Source organism: Homo sapiens, chromosome 3, assembly GCF_000001405.40.
Source record: "Homo sapiens chromosome 3, GRCh38.p14 Primary Assembly".
In the NCBI taxonomy this organism is placed as follows: domain Eukaryota; kingdom Metazoa; phylum Chordata; class Mammalia; order Primates; family Hominidae; genus Homo; species Homo sapiens.
This window is the reverse complement of record NC_000003.12, coordinates 55,049,656-55,077,320: the sequence shown is the minus strand read 5'-3', so window position 1 is coordinate 55,077,320 and position 27,665 is coordinate 55,049,656. Positions and strand designations below refer to the sequence as shown.

Genomic DNA, 27,665 nt, shown 5'->3' with positions numbered 1-27,665 from the left:
ACCAGAGGAGTGGGGCTAGGGGAGAAGAGCAGCTGTACCAGGGGTCTCTGAGGAAGGAATTTTTGAAGGGAGCGTGGATGTTGGGAAGGAGCAGCCACATGAAGACCAGGGTCCAGAGCCCTCCAGGCAGAAGGCACATGAAAAACAAAAGCCCTGAGTGGGCACCATGCCTGGCATTTTCAAAGGCTTGGAGGCAGAGCCATGGAGCACAGCGGGTCTGGGGCAGAGCAGCACAGGATGGTGTGGGAAAGGGAGGCAGAGTCTAGCCGAGTCCCTGTAGGTCCCACAGCTCAGCGGATGCCAACCTGGCTTCATATTAACATCACCTGGGGAGTTTTAACAAAAACTAAAATGCCTGGGTTCTGCCCCAGAGTTTTCGTTTGTTTGAGATGGAGTCTCGCTCTGTCGCCCAGGCTGGAGTGCAGTGGCGCGATCTTGGCTCACTGCAACCTCCTCCTCCCGGGTTCAAGCGATTCTCCTGCCTCAGCCTTCCGAGTAGCTGGGATTACAGGCACCTGCCACCATGCCCGGCTAATTTTTGTATTTTTAGTAGAGACAGGGTTTCATCACGTTGGCCAGGCTAGTCTCCAACTCCTGATCTCAGGTGATCCGCCCACCTTAGCCTCCCAAAGTGCTGGGATTACAGGCATAAGCCACCATGGCCGGCCTGCCCCAGAGATTTTTTGAAAGGTCCCTGAGTGATTCGAACACACAGAAGACTCAGAGAACCCCTGCTGTGGACTACAGTAAGGGATGTGTATGTTGTTTTAATTGTACTGGGCAAGGCTAGGATCAGATATTTGTTTCCGAAAAACTGCTCTGGTTGTTGTGTGGAGAACGGACTGTGGAGTGGGACTGGGTGGTCGCTGACAGTGGAAGAGAGGAGACTAATGAGGACATAGGTCTTCAGAGACCAGGGACGGGGGTGGTGACTGGGAAGAGGATGGCAGCAGTGAGGGGCTGGGAAAAGTGATGGTCAGGTTTGGTGTTTGAAGGGCACAGCTCGTGAGACTTGCTGCAAGGTGGGTTGCGGGGGAAAGAGCAAATTGGGTGGCCCCAAGGTTTGGGGTTGGAGTTGCGTCAGTGGGAAGAAAAAAGTTTAATGGAGGGGGATCGTGAGTTGTGCTTAGGACACATTAAGTTGGAGAAAATTATTCAATTTCAAAGTAGACAAACAAACAGGGTCCAGTTGCTTGAAGCTGTTGTGAGAACAGCGAATCAGAGGTGCCTGGTGGGTCAGTTACATGAATGTAATCGTGACAAGGGCATGAGGTGCAGTGTGACTCAAGGATGCTATATTTATGCCATAAACAGTTTAACAAAAATGACTCCATCGTTTAGAATGAGACTGGGAGTGGAATTATACGTAATTATATTACATGTATTTTGCATCATTTGCATTAAATTATGGGCATTATAACATAATATGCTTGACTTATTGTTGCCAGTTTTTAAGAACTGTAATGGAGAATCATAGGTTATGTGATGTTATTTTTGTTAAAAATTAATTAAAATATGATTTCTCTCTTATAAATCATCTAACTTGCTCTCTTTTAAAATCACCTAAATAATTTTCCTATAAATCACCTAGATCTGTGATAAATTCATCTCTCTCAGTATTAAGCTCAATTTTCCTCTGGTCATCACCTTAGGTATAAATAGAATGTCTTTATACTTGTAAATAGAATGTCTTTATACTTGTAACTTTATGGGTTTAGAGTCTTATCATCAATCATTCCAGCTTAATAAATTGTGGCTCCTTATCTGATATCAATGTGTCAGTGTAAATGTAATATATCTATCTTTATATTTGTATGAGCAACAAATGAATTTATTCATTTACCAAGTGCACAGAGTGAGTAACATCAATTGTCACAATTCTATAGCTCCATGGCTGTTGAAAGTTTGGCAAGTTTGCCTGTTACAGTATTGTGATGTTGAGAACAAACAAACAGCACTGGAGGCATAGTAATTTAATTTTAAAAGTTATAACAACAAACAACAAACAATGTAGTGGAATCATTTTAGTATAAAGCAGTACAGTGACATCAGTTTTTCTAAAATATCAAGAGGATAATGTGCCCCTTTTTAAAAGAGTTTAAGTAAGTAAGTAGGATTCTCTGGATAACTTTTAGATGTCGTCTGTCCTATAAAGTAAGGCATTCTCTACTCTGCCTAGGCATGGAAATTATTTCACTTTATTTAGTAACCATGATCCAGTGAAATCTGTTTTCTTTGGGTCAAGAGCCAGCGTTTAGAAATGCTTGCTTACATGTCTGGGTAGTTTCATCTCATCATACTTGAGATCTAATTTCATATCTTGTTTATGGGGAAAGCCAGAAGCCAAATTTGTAATCATTGTTCTTTTCCTCCTTCAAGTCTCCTCAGACCGAATTCCTAGGATTTATGACTTCTTTATTTCTATTCCCAAATAATTCACCACTTGAATATGATGAAAGCTTGTGTTTGCATCCAAATTATGATTTTCATTGAAGTTTAGTTCAACAAAATTCACGGTTCTATGTAATAAACTCTTCCCATGTAGATGATATTTTGATATACTTCTATAAATATTTTTATAACTGAGAGTGAGTGAAGCATCTAAAAACAGTTGTTAAATATGTGCCTAGAATCTGCTTTAGAACAAAGGCTCTGCCAACAGCCATCATTTCCTGGTTTCTGGAATGGGGACCTTTTCCCCCATGCATTGTTTTCAGTTGGTGTTCTTAGCAATAAAGTGATGATAAAATCCAAACACGGAGATTATGATTTTAATATACTTTATTTAAAAAGTACACAGTTTTAAATTGGTTTCAATAGGTTTCAAGCAGAAGGGACACTGCCTACCACTTGCGGTCCCATTTCTGATGAAGGGTGATTATCATGTGGCAAACTCACATTTGCATGACTGGCAAAGTAAAAAGATGATAGATAACTTTTTGTCAACATATCTTTAAGAGTTTATATCACGCACAGTTTAAAATCATGATGAGATGCTGATGGTTGGACTATATTCATGTCTCGTATGTTGCACCATATTTTGGTTCACAGTTTATCCATGATTTAGCATGCCAAGAGAACATCTCAGTCAGTAAGAGAACATCTCAGTCAGTGTCACCTTGAGAAGAGCATCAAAAGCAGAGGGAGCAGAAGGAGGACTGTCTGGGCTTGGAGACTCGGCGCACCCCCACACTCCCTTGCATTCTCCTATGGGGAAAGGCAGGGGTTGGTTAGACGGAAATAGACTCCAGGACACCTTCAACTTTCCCCAGACCTCTCTCCCCCTCTCTAACGTAAGAACGAAGTCTTCTGGGACCTAGATGATGGTGCAGATTCAGTTTACTGAATGAAAGGGATTATTTTCTCATGAGTGAACTTTTCAGCTGTAGTTCTTTGACCAGTGTGAGACTCTCGTGGTGATTCTGATGGGAAAAGGAAACAGGAACAGTTCTCAGACTTACCTCAGGATGGAAGCCATGACAAGATTCTGGGCGCCTTCTGATCTTCTGGGCCTTTAGACGTTCACACTTAAGGGATTCATTATGTTGACTGTAGTTAAGGCATGTTTCCAAGGATTGCTTTTTTCTACTCTGCATTTCAGAGGTCAAAATTTGGCAATGACAACTCTCTTAACTACTCTCTCTCTCCAACAGTGGAAAGGATGTAATTTTCCTTCTCTAATATTTCTCCCCCAGGTTTCCTTACCACTGATACCCCTTACTGGTTTCCGTGGTAGTGAGTGGACCTGCACACAAAAGGATATACCTGATTTCAATGGGTGCCATGGTGATGGGGGCCACAGATTCACAGAGGCAGCTGCTGTCCACCACCACCATGAACAGGTTGCTGCTTGGGATTTGCTGGATGACAAAGGACCTGTTGGAACAAGAGGTAGCGAGGCAGTCATTTACCATCCGTCAATTAAAGAGCCATGAGGAAGACTTCTCTCCTGGGTGGTAGCAACTACCATATTTTGTAAAGCAAATTTTGGAGACTATTTTACTACTAATGTTACCTTCTTTCTCCATGAGGCTCTTCACTTACAAATACCTAGCTTCACTAGGAAAACAACAATAGCTATGACGACATGCGGCTCATACAACTCACCTTGGAAAGACTGAAGTGCTGTATGTACAAAACACAAGAGTCAGAGTTGGCTGAATCACCTGTTCCCAAGGTTTAAGAGGTCAGACTTTCAAAGCCTAATTTCCTTCTCCCAGAGCCTAAACATTACCCCAAGTTACATTTGATGTTCCTCTAAGTGGCGTTTTCTCTCCTCCTTCCCTCAACGATAGACTGAAACTATGTCATACCAATGGCAAAAGAGATAGTGAACTTCTTAGAGCCTTCCTTATACTGCTTTGCACAACGTCTGCCCAGTATACAGGAACAGTGTTTTGAATGAGATTAATGCTAGTCATTTATGAGGTCCCACACTTCCCAGAGCCCAAGTTCTATAAGAAAGAGCCAAGGCTGTATATCTGCTCTGACCTTCTGATCCATCAGGATAGTTAGTCCAACTTAAACAAGCTTGGCAGTGCCTCCTTCTCACATTGCCCAACATGGTGAAGTGACAAAGAAAGACACTATAAAATAATCCTTTAACAAACACAAAACACTACTGACTCTTTCTTTGGAGGAACAAATGAGGGATCAAAATCTCATATTCTTCCAGAACCAGATTAGCTAAATATTTAACTCCAGGGTTAGAACCCCTATCGCATAATATTTCATTAAATTCAGTTTAATAGATTTTAACTTAACAAATGGAAATTAACAAAATTGTCAGTTTCTCCAAAGTTTTATCTTCATTTGCCTTTCTCGCAATAAATTTGTTCCATTCTTTTGAGTATATCACCATGGTGAACTAAAATCATGCAATGAAGAAAAGTTCTTCTGCTTTATGGGACGTTATAAAGAAGGGAAAGGGACTCCCCCTTTTTTAACCTGTTGCCACCTCATATGTTGAATGATCCATGAGAATGATCCATGAATGCCTCTCAGAGAGACTGCAACACAATTGGTTTCTTTCTTTTCTATAAATGCCCAATGCCCATCTAATATTCCACAGTTATGTTCACAGGGCTTGCCACTGTGCAAAGATGTTTCCTCAATGCCTTAACCACTATCCACACTGGGACACCTACTCTCTGCTCTTCCTACTCTTGTCTAGAACTATATCTGGCCTCAGAAAAATATTCAGTCTTGCTGTTTTGCTAATTAATTTCATCTATATCTGTCTGTATCTTCTTTACCTTCCCTCTTTAACACTAGACTCTTTCTTGCCTATGCAAGAATGTTACTCCAGCAGTTGGCCTCTACTGAATGGATTTTGCCCATCAACATAAATATATTCTACCTGAGATAGCTAGCTCTCATCAGAGAACCAACAATTTCCACCTTTGAGGCGGCAGGTTAACAGAGTCTCAAAGACAAGTACAAAACCAAGATCACAAAACACTCTGAAGAACAAATGGCTGACTAGAAGATTAAGCCAAGTGTGTCTGCCAGATGAACAATAAAGGAGAAGAGATGAAAATATGACATAAAAGATCCAAAGGAGAAAATATTTCTTGCACTGAAAAAACAAATCCAATTCTTTTCAATGAGTGAGCCCACTGAAACATGAGTAAAAAACTTCCTATCATCAATCATCAAAGATACAGACCAATCCTAAAAGCTTCCCTAGAAACAAATTACTTAGAATGAGAATAAAACCAGTTGCTCAATGGGAGTACTGAAGATGAAGAAACAGAGTAAAATATTTAAAGAAGTTCTGAGGAAAAAAGAGAGTCAGTCAAAGGTATGCCAGTGTCTATATTCTAAATCTCTGTAGATATTTATAGAAAATTATATTTTCAAATTAGGAATAATCATTGAAAAATATTAAAAAGTATTTAAAACCTGATCAATATGGATAGCATGAGAAATTAAACACCCCCTACAGACACATGACTGCCAGTATAAGCCTAAAATTATTACCAATCACAATAACTGTGAGGTTGTTAGATTCACATATTAAAAGGGCAAAGACTCTTAAATTGGGTTTATAAACATTATGATGTTTGTTTGCCACAAACACTCCTAAAACAGAATGACACAGGAGAAGGGGAAAATATATCAAAAATATGCTAACAAAAAAAGAAACAGGTTCAGGTTTAGCAGTAATATACAGATATTCAGAGTAAAATAAATATCATTAAAATATAGTAAATAAGAGTTCATACCAAAAAGTATTATAATCCACTAACAAGATAAAATATGATTCTTTAGTCACATAATGATCACAGTATACTAACTGAAAGAAATAACAAAAGGGATTTCTGAAAGCATGATCTGTTAAAAATATGGACCCAAAACTCTTCAGATATAAACAGCACAGAATATAAATTATTTTCAAACACAGGGAACTGCAACACATTCCAAAGAACCTATAGTACTGATTACACATTCTTCTTTTATGGTAGAGTCCAATTAGAAATGAATACCAAAAAGATATAAACAGTGAAAATTAAAAGTTAAAAAACACCTTTCATCAATCCTTGAGATTTGATAATAGCCCAGATTCACATTTGTGCGGTAGAACCTTAGACATTTTCATCAGAAAAAATAAATAAAGGTCGCAAATATTTGACTCAGTTTTCAAATCAAGAAGCTGGAAAAATAAGAAGATAAACCTGCACCTGTGCCCTATACATTGTCTTCCCCCTTGTCCACTGGATTGAGTATTAATGTCCCTCTGCAAAGCCTATCTTTCAGGCTTCTTCAAGGATGTGACTGGTGGAAAAGAAGAGATAGGTGACCGCTGCACAAATGGTTCCCCTCATCTACTAGCCCTTCCTGGAGGTTGGCAAACATGCTGTCACATCTCCCAGCTCAGGAAAAACAAAACTGTCTCTTAACCCTCCCTCCTGCAACCACCCCATTTCTCTGTTTTTCCTTATAGCACAACTCCTAAAAATAATTATCTATAATCCTTCTCTCTCTCCCTCCAACTCTCTCTCTTCACACATCTCCCTCCTTCAGAAATTGTATTCCAACAAGGCTGTAGTCCTCATCACTCCAACTGAATCAGTTATTGCCAAGGACACCAATGACTTCACCACTTTCCTTCTGCCTCTTCTTCCTTGCTTGTTTACTGTCTGCCCCTCATAAAAGACTGTAGTTTCCAAGGCAACAGGGCTGCACCTGACTGCCTGAGGTTGTGAGTTATCTCTAGCACCTAGGGTTGTGCCTGGGATAGAGCAACTTCTCAGTAAGTATTTGTTGAGTCAGTGACAGAACTTGAAATGATAAAGGCAGAAGAATAAAAAATTAAACTGTGAAGATAACCAACAGAATCAAACTCTGGTTTAAAAGCTTACTGACATAAATTAACTTTGGCACTCATGATCAAGAAATTAAGTCACAAAGTATCATTATAACCTGTAAGATACGGGAGCATTTTCAACATTTTTTGGTGACCATTATGTATAGCATTGTAAACAATCTGAGAACTTAAGAGAAAACACGCCTTTGGGGATAAAGCATAAATTATCTACATTTGGCCAAGCTATAAAAATCATGAGCAGACCAATTGCCATGAACAAAACTGAAATGCTCATTGAGAATCTACCCCCAGGTGAATTCTACCCAATCAATCACCCAGAGAACAGATATTGCTGTGTTCATAGAAAACCCACATGAACCCACTGACCAACTACTAGAACTAATAAAAGAACTCAGCAAGCTGGCTAGTTACATAATCAGCATATAAAACCACAGCCTGACACTGGCAATAACCAACGAAAAATATTTGTGAAATAAAGAACCATTGATAGTATCAATAATCAGTATAAAAGGCCCAAGAATAAATCTAGTAAAACATATGCCTTAATGAAGAAAATGATGCAAATTTACTGAGGAACATAAAAATACTAGCTAAAAATTGGAGGGAAGTACAATGGTGGTGGAAAGGAACACTCATATTTTAAATATGTCATTTCTCTCTTAATTAACTTTTTAATTCAAAGCAATTTCAATAAAAATAGGATATTTTATGGAATTTGAGAACATGATTCTAGGATTCTTTCAGAAGAGTAAATATAGAGAATAGTCTGGACAATCATAAAAGATTGGGTTTTATAAAAAAGGGAAGGGCAGTTGCTTGCCATATCCAGCATCGAAACTCGTGAGACAATTCATAGAAGAGGAAACACAGATGAGTAACAAATAGGTAAAAGCGGGTTCAATCTCACTAAAAATTAGAGAAGTATAAGTGAAAATAATGATTTGACTAGGACATGGGTAAAAATTTAAGTCTATGATAATATCAAATAATGGAGAAAGTCTGAAGAAATGAATACTCTTCTATACCACAGGTGGGAAAGTGAAACTTATAGCTACTATGAGGACAATTTGTTATTATTATAGTGGAAATCTTTTACACCCTATTTCTCTGTAGTTTTACTTCTCAGTAAAGTAAACTCATGTTCAGAACCCAAGAAGTCATGTACAAAGATGCTCTTGGTAGCAACGTTCACTGTAAGAAAGAAAAAGCAAAAACCCCACCTAAATGTCCAACAATGGGGCAATGATTGAATAAGCAAGAATATGTCCACTCGGTGGTCTTCTTGGCACCAGGTGACAGGGTGAAGAGGATCTCTATTTACTGTCATGAAAGGAGACCCAAGACGTTGAGTGGGAAAATAATGTTGTAAAACTATACGTAAAGTACCAGTATTTAAGAATATTTAGGACTATTTAAGAATATTTAATTCTGCTACAGAGAAACAAGAAAAATAAATGAGATGGATAAAACTTATAAGATGTATTAGGTATAGATAGCACTTAAGTGACCCATGACTCATGTTAGACTAGAGTAAATGGACTCAATAAGTAGAGCGTATGCAAGTTGAACAGAAATAGTAAAGGAAGAACATATGAAGTGTCTTCCTATAGAGAAGAAGGAAGGGAAGGACCACGTAAAATTAAATGCGCTCAATTCTTAAGGCACAGACCTTGTTGTCTCTAGGTTGATGATAGCTCTCTCCTGGCTCATCCTTAAATTAACTCACTGGCAACATCCATTCTCTGCCTGAGACACACAGATAAATGTGTGGCTGCTCAGGAGGTTACAGGCAAGCTACACACTTGCCCTTGCACCTCTCCAATAAGGCAAGTGTGTGCTGGCTGCAGGCACCTTCTGCCTGCTTAGGCCCTGTTCCAGACTGAGGACCCTCAAGTGTGGTCCTCCTCGCTACACCATCAGTGGGAGACAGAGCAGGAGAGGGTGGAGACAAGGGAAGGGAAAGGAAGGGAAGATGGGAGAGAGAAGAGGAGAATAGAGGAACAGTGCATAACACAGGTTACAGGGAGGGAGATCCTCCGTCCTCTTTCCCCTTGCTTCTAGCCATATGCTTTAAATGAATTCAATCAGCCAAGTGATTTGAGCATCTTAATTTCTTGGTAAGGCTTTTTGTTTTGTAACCTCTAGGATTACTTGCCTGGTAAGTAGTTGGCATTTATACATAAAGTGAGTACAAAAAAAAGACACATTTCTATAAATTCTTTATATATCTATCGCTCTGTCTTTATGTATGTATGTATGTATGTATGTATGTATCTAATGCATGGATGTATAAATAAAGGTCAGGAAGGTTACACACCACACCAGCAACAGTGGTTACCTCTGAAGAAAGGACTGTGACAGGGAGTAACTGTCAAGGGACACTTGAACTCCATCTGTAACCCTGAAGTTCTCTACAAGGAGAATGTATTAATGTCTTCTTAAAACAAGTATAAAGTGAACTGTGAGGGTCAAGCCCATTTTACAAAAGAGAAAACTGAAACTCAACGAGGATAAGTAAACTCTTACCACAGCTATATGAATAAGATAAAATTATGCCCATTTTACAGATAGGGAAACAAAAAACTAAGTACCTAGAGTAACCGGGGCAGAGCAGAGGTTCAAACCCAAAGTTGCAGCCCTCCGGAGCCCAGGCTAGTGTGGTTCTTTTGCCACAGGCAGCAGACTGTCTGTCTCGTGCTGGAACGATTAGAGCTCAAACTCCTTGAGGACAGACCCAGAGTGATCACTCAGTGCAGATGCTTAATGACAGCAAATGCAAGATAGCATTGTTTTCAAAGTCCCACAGCCAACTTTCCTTCTTTCTTTCCCAAATCCTAGGAGTTGAAAAGCCCTGAAAGCAGCTACACTGAGAGGAGAAAAGCCCCCCCCGCTACAAAAGATTGCCAGCGGAAAGATTAACTACTTTTCCATATTTTAAAGACTTACTGTCTGCTTATTAACATGGTGCTTCGGAGGGGCCTGGGCAATGTTAGCTGTACATTTATGTGTACAATGTGTATTTATGGCCCAGGGTGCAGGGTTGAACTTCATAAAACACACCTCCATCCAGCTGGGCCCAGCAGCCAGGCTGACATCATAGTCAGAGGGGCTGTGGCCTGGTGGGTTTGCCTGGGGGCCAAAAAAGGCGAGGAGGGAAATGCCTCAGCAGAGAATCACAGCGGTTGTTTCTAAGCAGGGATAGGTCAAAATGCGTGAAATAAATTAGGTCCTCGAGGGAAAGGGAGTTGGGAGAGGGAAGCAATTTTGATGTGTCCATTGCCAGAACTGAAATAATCCAGTCCTCCCTTTCCCACTCACTACAGACAGAGGAAGAACTGGAGGGAAAAAGATGATGCGATTTCAAGACAGCCTCCCGTGACAAGACAGAGTATTTGCCGCACACTATCTTCCGAGAGGGGCTTTCCTGAGCAAATGATGAAAGCGATCACCATGCCTCCCTCATACTCCCTCCAAACAAGCACGCGGGATGGGGAGGAACGCAGGGATAAGATCCCCCGAGGACCACAGGATTGCACATGTGGAGAGCTTGTTTGGCTTGCCTTTCATTAAATGGGTACAAAACTGTAGCTTGAAAAATATTTGGTCAGGATAGAATCTTAAAACGTTTTGACCCTAGACTGAGGTATTTCACCCTTTATAGATTTTTACCCTTTATATAGATTCTCCAGATTTTATCCAAAGATAAAATGAAAGCCAATGAGTCGGTCCCAGGGAGCTACTGAATTTGGCACTGGCCCTGTTCACAGTGTCCTGTTCCCCGGCTGGATGGAGCACGTGACTGTGGCTCTCCACCAGGATCCTGTTCTCCTTGGAGGTGGAAAGTGGCCCTATCCCCCACCTGCCCTGCCCCAGCAAGCACCAGGTTTCCCTACATGGACCTGGGCCCATAAGTTGAGAGCAAACATTTGGTGACTGTTTAAATTAAAAGGAAAGCTTAATTATTTTGTATGTGTTCTAGCATAACTGGATAGCCATCTTATGAGACAGTAGGAGGGAGGTGGACAGGAAGAGAAATACACAAATATTTTCTCCTTATGATTATTGATGCAATGATCTCAAATGAAATGTAGTAACTAAACTTCAGCAGGACATTGAAAAAGCAACATAGCATGCCACAGTGAGGATTGGCCTAGAAATGCAAGTGAACAAGATTATTGAGTGGTCCCAGCTTAATGAAAATAGAAACATGAAACAATTTTTTTTTCTTTCGTTTCCTTCCTTTCCTTCCCTTTCCTTCCTTTCCTTCCCTTCCCCCCACCTCTCCTCTCCTCTCCTTCCCTCTCCCTCCTCTCTCTTCTTTCTTTCGACATGGTCTTGCTCTGTCGTCCAGGCTGGAGTGCAGTGGTGCAATCGTAGCTCACTGCAGCCTTGAATTCCTGGGCTCAAGCAATCCTTCCCACTCAGTCTCCCAAGGAGCTGGGACCACAGGAGCATGACCCATGCCTAAGGGTAAAAGTGTCTGTTGGAAGGAAATACCTCTTTGCATGAATACTGACATTCTTGTTGGGTAGGCCCTGACCAGTGTTCACATGGCAGACAAAAGGCAGGCCCGTTTTCTAAGCCAAATAAGCTTGGAGTGGGAGTAGGGGGTTGGGGTAGGATTTCCAACTTTAAATTAGTGCCAGCCAACTCTAGAACTTGTGGTGCATGGTGTCACTTTGTCCTCCCCTAAATCTGGGACTACAAAAAATCCCCACTTGACATCCAGTTCACATCCCAGAAAATCTGTTCATGTAAGACACCCTATACAGCATGGGAAAACAGTCAGTGCTGTGGGATCTGTTCAGTAGGTGCCTAAAAGACACTGGACAGAAATCCCATCCCTGAAAACAATCCTTAAAAGAACAGAAGTAGGCACCCCTTTGTGAATCAAATTTAGCATCATGCTTAGGATAAAACACTCAGAGCAGGCTAATTAGAGTCAGAAGAAGGCAAGGAGGCTCACTCTCCTCTGTTATTTAACCTTGTTCTAAAAGTACCAGCCTATGCAATTAAATCAGAGAAAAGACAGATGATTCTCTGTTGGAACGAAGGAAGTGTTCTCAGGTCCCTAAAGCTTGCCCCTGCCCCCATCCCCATAATAATTTCCTCCGTTTCCCTATATATCTTAATGGTGTTACCCTCTATGCAGTCACACAGCCAGAGATCTCCAATGAACTCTGAACATCTTCCTCCCTGAACATTGCCATGCTCTGGTTTGACTATGTCCTTAATGCCTCTCAAATCCATCCTCCCATCTCCATCCTGCAGGGCCAGCTTTATGGGTGTGACCAGTGTAGTTGCAGAGGGGCCTACTCTCAGAAGGGCTGGTCACTTGGAGTTCAGTGTTCTGCAGGCATGGCTGTCTTAAAATTCTTAACTGTGTCTTTGAATTTGTGTTTTATAAGTGAAGTCCAGAGGCCAATGGGGCATGCACAGGAGTGGAGAGAGGAGGGCTGTGAGGAGGGGGTGGTTGAGGCTTGCCTCATGTACAGTTGCACTCTCCTCCATCTCCCCAGGGTGTTCCCAGCTACCTATTCCCCTCCTGCACTCAGCCCAGCAACTAGAGCCCTGCCCCCCACCTCACCGGCACCTGGCTGGGCCTGGGCCAGGCAAGCAGAGGGTCAAGGCTTGGGAGTGACTGGCAGTGCCACAGCATGTTCAGTGGGTGACTTAGCAGGGGCAAACCTCCCGCCCACCCTGATCCAGGTACTAAGTATTTGGTATTTGATGCAAAGATTGAAATCCCTTGTAGACTGGCTGTGCCCCATGAGTAGGGACAGCAAGCCCCTGGCAAGGGGAGATTCAGTCCCCTCCTCCAGCCAGGACACAGCACCTCGGTCCTGTGGCTAGTGGGAGGGAGAAGCCCTGCGGCTGCTGAGCTGCGCACCCCACCAGGTAACTGGGCAGGGCTCCTTAAGCACTGGGCCAATGTGCAGCCCTGTGTCTGAAGGAGCACAATATTAAAATGGCAAATAAAAAAATCATGAACAGTCAAGAGAGACCACAGAAAGAAGGAAAAAGTTTTACCTTTTAGTACCTTTAAGAATACATTTTTCTTGCTTTTTAAACAAGCAGCCCACAATTTTATTTTGCACTGGGCCTGGCCAATTATGAAGCCAACCCTGCTAATCTGCAAAATGTTAGGCTTATCTTCCAACTGGTCTCCCTGCCACGGCCCATTCTTGAGGTGGTCCTTCCCAAGTGCAAGGCTGACACCCCATCCCTCTTTTTACACCTTTCCACAGCCCCTGTCATCTACCCGATGGTCTGCATTGAGTGAAGCAAACAGGGCCTTTATGTTCTACCTGGCTCTCTCTCCAGCCTGACGTGTTCAACCATCCCAGCCCCAAAGCCACCTTCCTGTCCAACATCCAGGCTGCTGACCTACCCACGAGCCCCTGAGTGCACCATGCTGCTTCTCTCATAGTGCTGAGACCCAGATGGAGCTCTAATTCTTACCTTGGTTGCTCACTGGAATCACCTGAAGAGCATTTTGTTTTGTTTCATTTTGCATTTTTTTTTCTACTGATGGCCATGCCTAACATAAATTATATTGGAATCCTTGCAAGAAGGACCAAGGCATCTTTTTTTTTTTTTCTTTTAAGCTTCTGGAGTGATTCCAACATCCTTCAAGGCTGAGACTGTCTGGTCTAGAATTGTGCTTCTTAAGCTGAGTATGCTTACGGATGACCTGAGGATCTTGCTGAAATGCCAGTTTCTGTTCAGTGGGTCTAGGGTAGGGCCTATGATTCTGCCTTTCTCACCTTCTACCAGGCAATACTGATGCTGCTGGTTCGGGGACCAGCAAGCCTCTGAGTGTTGAAGCCACCTCCTCCCATACCTTTGGAGAACCCCAATTCAGTTATAAAAGACTTATTAAATGTCACTTTCTCCATTAAGCCGTCCTTCTCAAAGGGAAGTATGTCTTCCTCCATTCTCCCATGACATGTTGTAGGTACCTGTATCACCCATATAAAATCCACAGCTTTCTATTTGTGTGTGGAATTAAATGCTCACAGCGACTTTGCCATCCTTGTACTGCTACACTGGAAATGACTAGGACAGACATCAGCACTCTAGGCTACACAAAGGATAGTCTGAAAACTGTAAGCTTTGGAGTGTGTAGAAAATTCTCTTTTTGTAACCCAGGAAAACAAATGGAAGAGTTACCTTCTAGGGCAGCTAAAAGTGAGATCCAATAAGAGACTTCCGTAAATGTCAGATGGGAGGCAGAGGTCAAACACATTAAGAAGCCATAAACAAAACAAATAAGAAAACAAATGGTTTCCCAGTAGGAGCTCAAATCAAAAGCCGTAAGGACAGACGCCTCCAATTCTACAGGTTGGTGGCAGTAGGAATTGATTTAATCATCAATACAGTATAGTGAGTAGGCCAGCTACTGTCTTCCTTTCCTCCATCTTTCTCTAGGTAACCAGGCAGACAGACAGCTATTAATATTTTGTTTTGTAATTTGGGTAATTTTGTTTCCTACTAGACTTCTGAGAGCAAGGCAGAGACCTCCTTTTTTTTGTTTTCTACACGTCATTGAATAACAATGGAAAATGAGAAGATACAGCCAGGTGTGGTGGCTCATGCCTGTTATCCCAGCACTTTGAGAGGCCAAGGAAGGAGGGTCGCTTAACCCCAGGAGTTTGAGACCAGCCTGGGAAACTTATAGTGAGGCTGTATGTCAAAAAAAAAAAAAAAGACAGATATGATGTGTGCCTGTAGTCCCAGCTACTCGGGAGGCTGAGGCAGGAGGATCACTTGAGCCCAGGACTTTGAGGCTGCAGTGAGCTATGATCATGCCACTGCACTCCAGCCTGGGCAACAGACCAAGACACTGTCTCAAAAAACAAACAAACAAAAAATGAAAGATAAAAATATAATTCAAAGTAGCACAAGCTCTTTGGCAAATGGGTTTCATAGAATATAGTACAAGGTTGAAGCAGCCCAGAATTTTTGTTTATTCTCACCATTCTTCAAGGTTCACAACCACTTTCAGAAAACAAAGAGCCCTGTCTGACCTTCTATAGAAGTTTCTCTTTGATATCCAATCTCCCTTCTTTTGGTACAAATATCTTCCTTCTGGGAAGGACTGCACCCTTCCCTCAGGCAGCCCAGGTGCTTCTGAGGAGCTAGTCCTGTCCAGGCATGCTGTCTAGACCTAAGCGGATTGGTACAATTCCTTCCCCTGGAGAAAGCAATGGGTTCAGAGATGGGTACTGAACCTAAGTTATTTCAATCAGTCTGAAACGCAGAATTCTTATCTCTACTCCAAACATATGAAAACAAACACATTTTCAGCCTCAGGAGCCACTGGCAGCTTTCCTGTGCTCATGAAAGGAAATGCCTGCTGGGAAATGCATAGAGAAAACCTGGATCTTGGTCTTAACCTTTGGGAAACTTGAGTAAGCCCTATCTGAAGCTTACATCTCAACTTTTCCCTGTATTGTTTAAGCTTGCTTGAGTTGAGCCTCTGTCATTTGTAAACAAAAGGATATCAAGTGATAAGCTCTTAAATTCCGTATCATCACCACTACATTGCCTGATCACCCTGCAGTTGGAAAATCTAGGCTTTAGGGAGCTGAGCCCTAGAAGCCATAAGCATGGCTCACACCCGGTTTACCCTGGATGGCCTGCCAAGAACCAAGCTGGTATAGGCCTCTTCTGCTCCGTTTCACCAGTGTGGGAAATGTGCTGTGTTTTCATAGTTAAGTGCTAAGATTAAATCGGACCAGCATATTCTCTTTGTTATACTTATTTATTCAAAAATGTATACAATAGACACATTAAGGCATTCCATTTGTGACTTGCTGATGGAGAAAGCACACAAAAAGCCAGAAGGATGCTTTGCCTGCAGGGCAGTGTCCCATGGTGGTATTTATTCTGTTGTAGACAGAATGCATCAGTAAGAGCCATGATAATGACTTCCACTCATCCTCAGCCCACAAGGATTTATTGAGATTTATGGTGCCGACCTACAGCTTGAAAACAACCTGGACAGGAGGTTCTTTGGCATTGTCAGCCCAAGGCAGATGGCAAGGAATGGTATTTTGTGTTTGAAATATGGGAGAGAAACCCCCATGGAATGAAAAGGAAGAGGGGCCCAGTTTTCTTTTCTTATCCCAGAGGAAGGGAATCTCAAAAGAGCTCACAACAAAGGATATTTTTAAAACTTGGCTATCATTTTAGTTTTTCAAAGTTTTTTTTTTCTTTGTACTAGGGTCTTCAGTAAATCTTCTTAATTATGACATGAACCATTTTTCTTCTAATCCCCTTAAGAAGAGTAAGGAGTTTGTTAACTATTTTCACTGAAACTATTAATGTCTTTTCTTATAAATAATGACAATAATAGCTAACATTTACGGAGTGTTTACTTAATGCCAAACCCTTTTCTAAGCAGTTCCCCTTTAATCTTCACACCAACTCAAAGAAATATCATTTTCTCCATTTTATGGATGAAGACACTCAAGCATTAAGTTAAACAACTTTCCCAAATCCTAAAAAGACATCAAATCTCAAAGTATCAAAACTCTACAGAGCTAGACCTGCTTGATGCTAACCTTTGTTTCATCCTTTACACTCTATATAACTAATCACCACCATCATCGTGACTATCATCACCATCACCATCACCACCAACATCGTCTACCACTTACTGAGCACTTACCCTATACAGGCATTGTATGATAGTCTTTACCTAAAATGGACTCATTTCCCAACTCTGTGAGGAACTTCAATAATTAGACCTGATTTTGCTTTAAGATAGCACAGGTTTAATAGGTATGATCTGGATTCCAGCTCTCAGGCAATAGAGCCTGCCATCTCACCCATCATACTGATATGGACAGGAGGCAAGTAAATACTGCGTAGGAGACAGCAGGTCCCTGACAAAGGCCCCACCTTCAAGCCTGGAAACTGGTGGCTCTAAATGGGAACAGTTATTCCTGTTTTTGCACCCAAATATTGCCTCTTGATCCACCATGCTCCCTATCCTGTACCCATATAAACCCCAAACCTCAGGCTCTACAAGCAGACGAGCAGATAAACAGAAGAGCAGCCTGGCAGAGGAGAGAAGAAAAGGAGCATCTGAATGTTGAAAGGAGTTTGGCTGGGGACGGTTGGAGAGGAGAACGGGTGTGGGATAGCTGAACTCCAGGGGAAGATCATCTTCCCATTCCATCCCTTTCCACCCCCCAATCCATCCCACTGAGTGCCACCTCTATCACCCAATAAAATCCCCGTATCCACCATCCTTCAAGTCCATATGTGACCTGATTCTTCTCGGATGCTGGACAAGAACCCGGGTACCAAGAGGGCACTAAGCTGGTTAATACTTAAGCTGTCTATGGACAGCAGAGCTAAAAGAGCACTGTAGCATGCCCACTGGGGCTTCCAGAGTTTCAGCCACACAACCTTAGTTGCCACCGTGGGGCTGGAGCCCAAAAGTGTCCACCCCGGCTCCTGCACCTGCCCGTCTGCATGTTCCCCATCCCATAAGGGGTTTGAGCAGCAGCCACAGCCAGAACAGACAAGCCACACCCCTGTTGCACTTCCTGCGAGGGGGGTCAGATAACTCTCCTGTTTCAATACAACAACATCTCATGTGGAAATGTGTTTGGGCAATAGTAATGTAATGATTCTCTGGTAAACAGAGAAAAGAGAATCTGTCCCTACATCGAAGGGAGAATTTAACATTACCTAGAACTCACAGTTCTAATCTTCTATTTTCTATCATCTTTTATACTGTCTTTCACAATTTCCATGTGAATTGTTGGGTTCATTTAGCAAAATAGAATAGCCTCAGAATGAATCATCAGGAAGCCTGAATAAAAGTGTACACTTTAAAAGTATAAAGAATTCACTGGGAAGTTAAACATCTCCCTTTATGTGATCTGGCAAAGTCAAAGTGTGATCATTGAGAAGTACTTTATAAAAGGTTGGACATCTTGCATTACATGAACAAAATATTTTTGTTAAGTGTACCATGTTAATGGTAAGAAAACAATTGAGCTAAATATGAAGCCAGTTTTGCATAGAAAAAAAGAGCGGCGGCGGGGAGGGGAAGTATCACACCGTTTAAATCCTTCTACTTATCCTGATTTTACAGATGAGGCAATGGCTCAAAGTCACAGAGCTAATAAGATGTGAACCTGGGATTCAAACCCAGGCCATTTGGCCTCAGAGCCTGAGCATGTAACGTTTCTGCCTCTTAGTTCTGAGTAATGAGCTGGCATGTGATTTTTGTTTTATTTTTTACACAATTCTCTATTTTTCAATTTTCTGCAATGAATAGGAATCACATTTTAATAAGCACCAAGAACCATGGAATAATAACTTTCTATTTAAAAAAAACATATATATATATGTATTTTTAAAACTAAATCTCAGTGATCAGTATTTTACTCTATAGTCTCAGTTGCTGACCACCAGAGAAACTAAAACCGGAGTGAAACTTTTCCAGGATCATTAATTGAAAGAACAATGAAATCCCTCCTTAGTGGCCTTGCTGTCCTCTTCTATGTACTCATTTTTACCGTATATCCTTGGGGTGGGTTCTCCCCAGAAGGAATCCTCTCTGAATCTCTCTATAACATCAGCTGTATCACTGCCTGATCTACAATTGGAGCTTGATACATTTTTGCTGACTGAAATAAAAGCTGAATTCATGCCTTCCTACTTTGACTCTATCTAAGCTTTCTGAATAATATATCTTGTAGCTTTGAATTAATATACCAGGGAAATAATTAAACAAATCATGTAGTCTGCTATACTTTGGGTTCTGACTTCTGAAATCAATGCTCCAAATAATTCCCACCCCTATTCAACTGTCCCTTATCACAACATAGCATGATTATTCACTCTGAATAGTGTGAGTACCGTGGTAGAGACCTATAGCCAGGAAGACGTTTGAAGAGAGACAGATGTATTCCAGAAACACTGGATGAAAGGCAATGTTTTAGACTTTTAAATTACTGTTCCTATGGATTTTTTTTTGGTGATTTGTCAAAATTTTGATCATTGAGAATTACTTTATAAAAGGTTGGACATCTTGCATTACATGAACAAAGGATTTTGTTCATTTTGCATGACATGAACAAAGCATTTTGTATTCTAAATAGGAAAAAAATCTCTCACAAGAAAAATCAGAACTATTCTCCCATTCAGTGTATACTTGATCCACACAAAGAATATCAATATGCAATAAAGGGGAAGAAAAAAATGGAGGTGGGAGATAACAGGGTATGCCAGAAAGCCAACTGGTTCAGAAGTTAATGGACTTGAATTGAACTCCCATTGTGAAATTAAATTAATGGGCAAATCACCATGAGAAGTGTTTTGTTCCTTCCCTCTTCTTAGTTTTCCTACCTCATAAGTGATTTCTAAGATCCCTTCCCAATATAATACTAAAATATTTGGCTTTCACATCACTGCTTCCTCCTTAACAAAAAAAATCTCACATTTCTCCAGGCTGTTAACAGACTTCAGTTAGCTATTGCCATTATCTTCTTCCATGAGCTCTCTCCATTGCTAACCCTCTTTTTTGGTGGGATGGGGGGAATCTTGACCTTATAATTTAAAAAATTATTTTGTTGTAAACTGACAATTTATACTGGTATATATTCATGGGGCATGAAGTGATGTTATAATTTATGAATAAAATGTGGAATGATTAAGATTGTTTACATATCTGTATTATTCTCATGCTGCTAATAAAGACATACCTGAGACTGGATAATTTATAAAGGAAAAAGGTTTAATTGACTCACGGTTCCACGTGGCTGGGGAGGCCTCACAATCATGGCAGAAGACGAAGGAAGAGCAAAGGGACGTCTTACATAGTGGCTATTCACTATCACGAGAGCGGCACAGGAAAGACCTACCCCCATGATTCAATTACCTCCCACCGGGTCCCTCCCATGACACATGGAAATTATGGGAGCTACAATTCAAGATGAGATTTGGGCAGGGACACAGCCAAATCATATCAGAATCCATCACCTCAAATACCATGTTTCATGGTGAGAGCATTTGAGATTTATTCTTGTAGCAGTTTTGAAATGTACAATACACTATTATTAACTATATTCACCATGATGTGCAACAGAACTCCAGAAACAGTCCTTATTCTTCCTGTGTGAGATTTTTTACCCTTCAAACATCATTTCCCCATTCCTCCCTCTACCTCAGCCTCTGTTACCACCATGCTACTCTGTTTCTATGAGTTCAGTTGTTTCAGATTCCACATATAAGTGAGAACATGCAGTATTTGTCTTTCTGTGTCTGGCTTATTTCATATAGAATAATGATCTCCAATTCCATCCATGATGTTGCAAATGACAGAATTTCCTTCTTTTTAATGCCAAATAGTATTCCATTGTGCGCTTATACTGCATTTTCCTTATCCATTCATCTATTGATGAACACTTAGGTTGATTCCATAACTTAGCTATTATGAAAAGTGCTGCAGTAAAGATGGGAGTGCAGATATCTCTTTAAAAAATTGATTTCAAATCTTTTGGGTAAATACCCGGAAGTAGGATGGCTACAACTTACGGTAATTCTATTTTTAGTTTTTAAGGAAACTCCATACAGTTTTCTATAATGGCTGTACTAATTTACATTCCCACCAAAAGTGTACAAAGTTTCGCTTTTCTCCACATCCTTCTCAACACTTGTTATCTTTCATCCTTTTAATAAGAGCTAGTCTGGCAGGTGTGAAATGATATCTCATTGTCATTTTAATTTGTATAACCCTGATGATTACTAATATTGAACATGTTTTTCATAGATCTATTGGCCATTTCTATGTCTTCATTTGAAAAGTGTTGATTCAGGTCCCTTGTCCACTTTTTAACTGGGGTTTTTGTTTTGTTTTCTTGCTGTTGAGTTGTTTGAATTCCTTATAATATTTTGGATACTGACCCTTTTTCTGGTATATGGCTTACAAACATTTTCTCTCAATCTGTAGATTGTCTATTCACACTGTTAATTGTTTCCTTTGCTGTTAAGAAGCTTTTTAGTTTGACACAATCTCATCTGTCTATTTTTGCTTTTGTTGCCTATGCTTTTGGGGTCAAACCTAAAAAAACATTGCCCAGACCAATGTGTAGTTTTTAGCATTTCTGTACACTAACACTGAACTATTCAAAAAAGAAATGAGGAGGACAATCCCATTTATAATAGCCACAAAAAAAGCTTAGGAGTAAATTTAACCAAGGAGGTCAAAGACCTGTACACTTAAAACTATTAAACATTGATGAAAGAAACTAAAGAAGCCACCAAAAATGGAAAATATCCTGTTTTTGTAGATTGGAAAAATCAATATTGCTAAGATGTCCATCCAACCCAAACTGATCCACAGATTAAATGCAATCTCTATCAAAATTCCAATTTCATTTTCCGTAGAAATAGAAAAAAAATTCCAAAATTCATGAGAAATCACCACAAGTCCCTAACAGCCAAGGCCATCATAAGTAAAAATCAGTGAAGCTGGAGACACCATACTACATAATTTCAAACTATACAACAAAGCTATAGTAATTAAAACAGCATGATTCTGGCAAAGAAATAAACACATCTATTAATGGAACAGAATAAAGAGCCCAGAAATGAACCTGTACAAATATGGTCAACTGATTTTTACTGGAATACACACTGAGAAAAGGACAGTCTCTTCAACACATGGTGTGGGACAACTGGATATCCACTTGCAAAAGAATGAAACTGGACCTTATCGCACATTATGTACAAAAATCAACTCAAAATAGATTAAAGACTTACATGTAACACCAGATACTATAAAACTACTAGCAGAAAACACAGGGGAAAAATTATGCAGCAGTAGTCTGAGCAATGATTCTTTGGATTTGACACCAACTCTCTTTAATCAGCATGTTTCTTATATAAAAAAGACTTGTTTAAACTCTAAAAGTTAAAATTCAAAAATCCAGAAATGTAACACCTGTGTATCAGTTCTAACTAGTACAGATAAATTCTGTACATGATAAAGGAGAAAAGTTTTAAGAACTAAATATCATATTCCAGGGCTAGAGGCAAAAACGAAACAAAATCACCTTCTGAAGCCTAAAACCAGGCCACCAAAAGCACAAGAAGATCCACTGGTAATTTAAACACATGCTACAATAAAACTCAACATTCTCTAGAAGAATATAACAGAATCCAGGACATCTACAATGTACCATCCACAATATCCAAAGTACAAAACTGACTATGCATGTGAAGAAACTTGTACAGTAATTGTGTCACATAGTAAAATGTGACAAAATAGTCAACAGAAGAATCAATCTAAAGATAGACCAACATCTGGCCCAGGTATTAGAGTTAGTAGATAATGGTAATATATTATACTTTATAATATAGTATATTAAATAATATATTTATATATTAATTAAACTTTAGAAAGTGGCTATACTGAGGTATGAAACGGGGAATTCCAGCAGAAATATGTAAACTATATAAATGAACCAAATGCAAATCTTAAAACAGAAAGAATAAAATATTTTAAATCCAAAATTCACTGAGTGTTATATATTCAAGGCAGACTGAATGCAACAGAAGATAGGATCAGTATACCTGAAGTCAGGTCAATAGAAATTATTCAAATTAGAGAACAAAGAGAAAAACAAGGTTAAAACACAAATGAACAGAAGCTCAGTAAGCAGTAAAATAGTACCAAGTAGTCTAACAAACAAGTATTTAGAATCCCAGAGTTGAGTAAAGAGAAAATGAGTCAAAAAATACACTGAAGAAATACTGACTGGGCTAAAACAAGAGACAGGAATTGGGATTATATTATCCTAAGGTAAGTACACTACACCTGAAGCAATTTAATATTATTTGAAGATAGAACATGAGCAATTAAAGATGTATACTGTAAACCTTAGTGCAACCAATACAAAAAAAAGCTTAAAAGTATATAAACAATAAGCCAATAGCAGGAAAAAAATGGAATCATAAAATAGTCAATATAAAAGACAGAAAAAAAAGAGGATGAACAAGCAGAAATCAACTAGAAAAGTGCTAGATTTCAAGCCAATAATATCAGTAACTTCATTAAAAATAAATGGTCTATATGAATGACCAAATGCTTTTACCTTAAGGTCAGAAACAGAAAAGCATGTCTGATTTTACCATTTCTCCTTTACATTGTACTTGAAGTTACAGCCTGTGCAGTAAGGCAAGAAAGGACATAAAATTCATCCAGATTTTAAAGAAAGGAAGAAATTATCTTTATTTGATGACCGTATGTCCATATTTGTAGGAAATGTAATCAAACCTACCAAAAACTACTAGAAATGATAAGGAAGCTTAGAAAGGATGCAGGATATAAAATTCAATATAGCTAAGCAACTTGGATTTTTTGGTAGCAAAAAGCAGTTGGAAAATGAAGTAATACTACTTAAACAGCATAAAAATATTCAGATTTAGAGAGAAATCTGACAACAGATGTGCAGGAACTATATACTACTGAAAATCATGAATCATTGCTGTTAGAATTTAAAGGAAGCTTGAGTATGAGCATTGGTTAGAAGTCCCAGTGTTGTTAAGATGTCAGTTCTATCTATACTGATTTCCTTATTTTATAAATAAAAGGCAAATCAATCAAAATCCTATCAGAGTAAGGAATAAACTATTAACTACACAACATGGTGAATCTCAAAATAATTAAATGGTATGTAAGGAGCTGGACCAACAAAGAATACATACTGTATGATTCCATTTACATAAAATTCTAGAAAATACAAGCTCATCGATAGTGACAAAAAGAAAATCAGTAGTAACTTGGGGATAGAATTAGGTGGAGAGAAACCAGTGGGAGGGATTACAAAGAGGAAGAAACAAATTTTTAGAGGTAATGGATATACTCATACTTGTTTGTGGTGATAGTTTCATGGATATAGACATTTGTCAAAAATTTTCTAAATGTGCATTTTAAATATGGTCAGTATATTCTACATTAAATATGTGGCAAGTTGTTTAAAAAAAATAAATGGCCCAAATGTACCAATTAAAAGGTAGATTGATATACTGGATTAAAAGGTGAAACCCAATTACGTCCTATCTATAAGAACACACATTAATTGTAAGCATACTGAAAAGATTAAAGCTAAAAGATGGGGAAAGATTCCACGAAAATGTTAGTCACAATGAACCTGCAGTAGCTATATTAATATTAGACAAAGCGTACTTCAGAACAAGGAATACTACAAGTGTAAAAAGGGACATCACAAAATGACAGAGGAGCCAATTCACTAAAAAGGCATAACAATCCTAAATATGCATGTATCTAATGACCAAACCTCAAATAAATGAGACCAAAAATGAATACACATTGAAAGAGAAATAAACAAATCTACAATTACAGTTGGAGACTGCAACACTCCTCTCTTGGTAATGAACAGAAAAAGTAGAATACATAGAAAATCTGTAAGAATATAGAAACCAACTTTACCTAAGTAACATTTATAGAAAACTTTAACAACAACACTATATATATATATATACACACACAGGTATATACATATATATGTGTATATATACACACAAACATATATATAGAATATATGTATATATATGTTCATATGGAATATTCACAAAGTTAGATCATGTTTTGGATCACAAAGCAAATCTTTACAATTTTAAAAGAATTAAAATTATACAAAGAATGCTCCCAAACCATAATAAAATAGAACTCCAAATCAGTAACAGAAAAGTTTCCGGAAAACCCTCAAATATTTTCAAATGAACGATACAGCTTTAAATAACCTCAAGGTCAAAGAGGAAGCCATAAGGAAAATGAGAAAATATTTTGAATTTAATGAAAAGTGTGAGGGGAGGAGCCAAGATGGCCGAATAGGAACAGCTCCAGTCTACAGCTCCCAGAGTGAGCAACGCAGAAGACAGTCATTTCGGCATTTCCATCTGAGGTACCGGGTTCATCTCACTAGGGAGTGCCAGACAGTGGGCGCAGGTCATGGGTGTGTGCACCGTGCACGAGGCGAAGCAGGGCGAGGCATTGCCTCACTTGGGAAGCGCAAGGGGTCAGGGAGTTCCCTTTCTGACTCAAAGAAAGGGGTGACAGACGGCACCTGGAAAATCGGGTCACTCCCACCCGAATACTGCGCTTTTCCGACGGGCTTAAAAAACGGCGCACCACGAGATTATATCCCACACCTGGCTCGGAGGGTCCTACGCCCACGGAGTCTCGCTAATTGCTAGCACAGCAGTCTGAGATCAAACTGCAAGGCGGCAGCGAGGCTGGGGGAGGGGCGCCCGCCATTGCCCAGGCTTGCTTAGGTAAACAAAGCAGCCCGGAAGCTCGAACTGGGTGGAGCCCACCACAGCTCAAGGAGGCCTGCCTGCCTCTGTAGCCTCCACCTCTGGAGGGAGGGCACAGACAAACAAAAAGACAGCAGTAACCTCTGCAGACTTAAATGTCCCTGTCTGACAGCTTTGAAGAGAGCAGTGGTTCTCCCAGCATGCAGCTGGAGATCTGAGAAAGGGCAGACTGCCTCCTCAAGTGGGTCCCTGACCCCTGACGCCCGGGCAGCCTAACTGGGAGGCACCCCCCCAGCAGGGGCACACTGACACCTCACACGGTAGGGTATTCCAACAGACCTGCAGCTGAGGGTCCCCTCTGTTAGAAGGAAAACTAACAAACAGAAAGGACATCCACACCAAAAACCCATCTGTACATCACCATCATCAAAGACCAAAAGTAGATAAAACCACAAAGATGGGGAAAAAACAGAGCAGAAAAACTGGAAATTCTAAAAAGCAGAGCACCTCTCCTCCTCCAAAGGAACACAGTTCCTCACCAGCAATGGAACAAAGCTGGATGGAGAATGACTTTGACGAGCTGAGAGAAGAAGGCTTCAGACAATCAAATTACTCTGAGCTACGGGAGGACATTCAAACCAAAGGCAAAGAAGTTGAAAACTTTGAAAAAAATTTAGAAGAATGTATAACTAGAATAACCAATACAGAGAAGTGCTTAAAGGAGCTGATGGAGCTGAAAACCAAGGCTCGAGAACTACGTGAAGAATGCAGAAGCCTCAGGAGCCAATGCGATCAACTGGAAGAAAGGGTATCAGCAATGGAAGATGAAATGAATGAAATGAAGCGAGAAGGGAAGTTTAGAGAAAAGAGAATAAAAAGAAATGAGCAAAGCCTCCAAGAAATATGGGACTATGTGAAAAGACCAAATCTACGTCTGATTGGTGTACCTGAAAGTGATGGGGAGAATGGAACCAAGATGGAAAACACTCTGCAGGATATTATCCAGGAGAACTTCCCCAATCTAGCAAGGCAGGCCAACGTTCAGATTCAGGAAATACAGAGAACGCCACAAAGATACTCCTCGAGAAGAGCAACTCCAAGACACATAATTGTCAGATTCACCAAAGTTGAAATGAAGGAAAAAATGTTAAGGGCAGCCAGAGAGAAAGGTCGAGTTACCCTCAAAGGGAAGCCCATCAGACTAACAGCGGATCTCTCGGCAGAAACTCTACAAGCCAGAAGAGAGTGGGGGCCAATATTCAACATTCTTAAAGAAAAGAATTTTCAACCCAGAATTTCATATCCAGCCAAACTAAGCTTCAGAAGTGAAGGAGAAATAAAATACTTTACAGACAAGCAAATGCTGAGAGATTCTGTCACCACCAGGCCTGCCTTACAAGAGCTCCTGAAGGAAGCGCTAAACATGGAAAGGAACAACCGGTACCAGCCGCTGCAAAATCATGCCAAAATGTAAAGACCATCGAGACTAGGAAGAAACTGCATCAACTAATGAGCAAAATAACCAGCTAACATCAAAATGACAGGATCAAATTCATACATAACAATATTAACTTTAAATGTAAATGGACTAAATGCTCCAATTAAAAGACACAGACTGGCAAATTGGATAAAGAGTCAAGACCCATCAGTGTGCTGTATTCAGGAAACCCATCTCACGTGCAGAGACACACATAGGCTCAAAATAAAAGGATGGACGAAGATCTAACAAGCCAATGGAAAACAAAAAAAGGCAGGGGTTGCAATCCTAGTCTCTGATAAAACAGACTTTAAACCAACAAAGATCAAAAGAGACAAAGAAGGCTATTACATAATGGTAAAGGGATCAATTCAACAAGAAGAGCTAACTATCCTAAATATATATGCACCCAATACAGGAGCACCCAGATTCATAAAGCAAGTCCTCAGTGACCTACAAAGAGACTTAGACTCCCACACATTAATAATGGGAGACTTTAACACCCCACTGTCAATATCAGACAGATCAACGAGACAGAAAGTCAACAAG

At 40.1% G+C, this 27,665-nt stretch overlaps 1 protein-coding gene across 1 annotated transcript in view, besides 1 other annotated feature; it reads right to left on the bottom strand.

The window, feature by feature from the left end:
* Positions 1-2,763: 2,763 nt before the first annotated feature.
* Positions 2,764-27,665, bottom strand: part of CACNA2D3 (calcium voltage-gated channel auxiliary subunit alpha2delta 3) — a 952,006-nt gene continuing 927,104 nt past the window's right edge. Inside the window, exons 36-38 of the mRNA NM_018398.3 lie at positions 3,764-3,876; positions 3,462-3,544; positions 2,764-3,207 (exon numbers count right to left, since the gene is read on the bottom strand). Of these exons, the coding sequence (NP_060868.2) occupies positions 3,115-3,207; positions 3,462-3,544; positions 3,764-3,876 (289 nt within the window). The 3' untranslated portion in view covers positions 2,764-3,114. The remainder of the gene's footprint in view (positions 3,208-3,461; positions 3,545-3,763; positions 3,877-27,665) is intronic.
* Positions 14,309-14,924: an enhancer, noted in NCBI's record as "NANOG-H3K27ac hESC enhancer chr3:55096424-55097039 (GRCh37/hg19 assembly coordinates)". NCBI's record gives its function as "activates a minimal SCP1, AML or CMV promoter by ChIP-STARR-seq in naive H9 embryonic stem cells {active_cell/tissue: H9 hESC(naive)}" and the evidence as "EXISTENCE:reporter gene assay evidence [ECO:0000049][PMID:30033119]".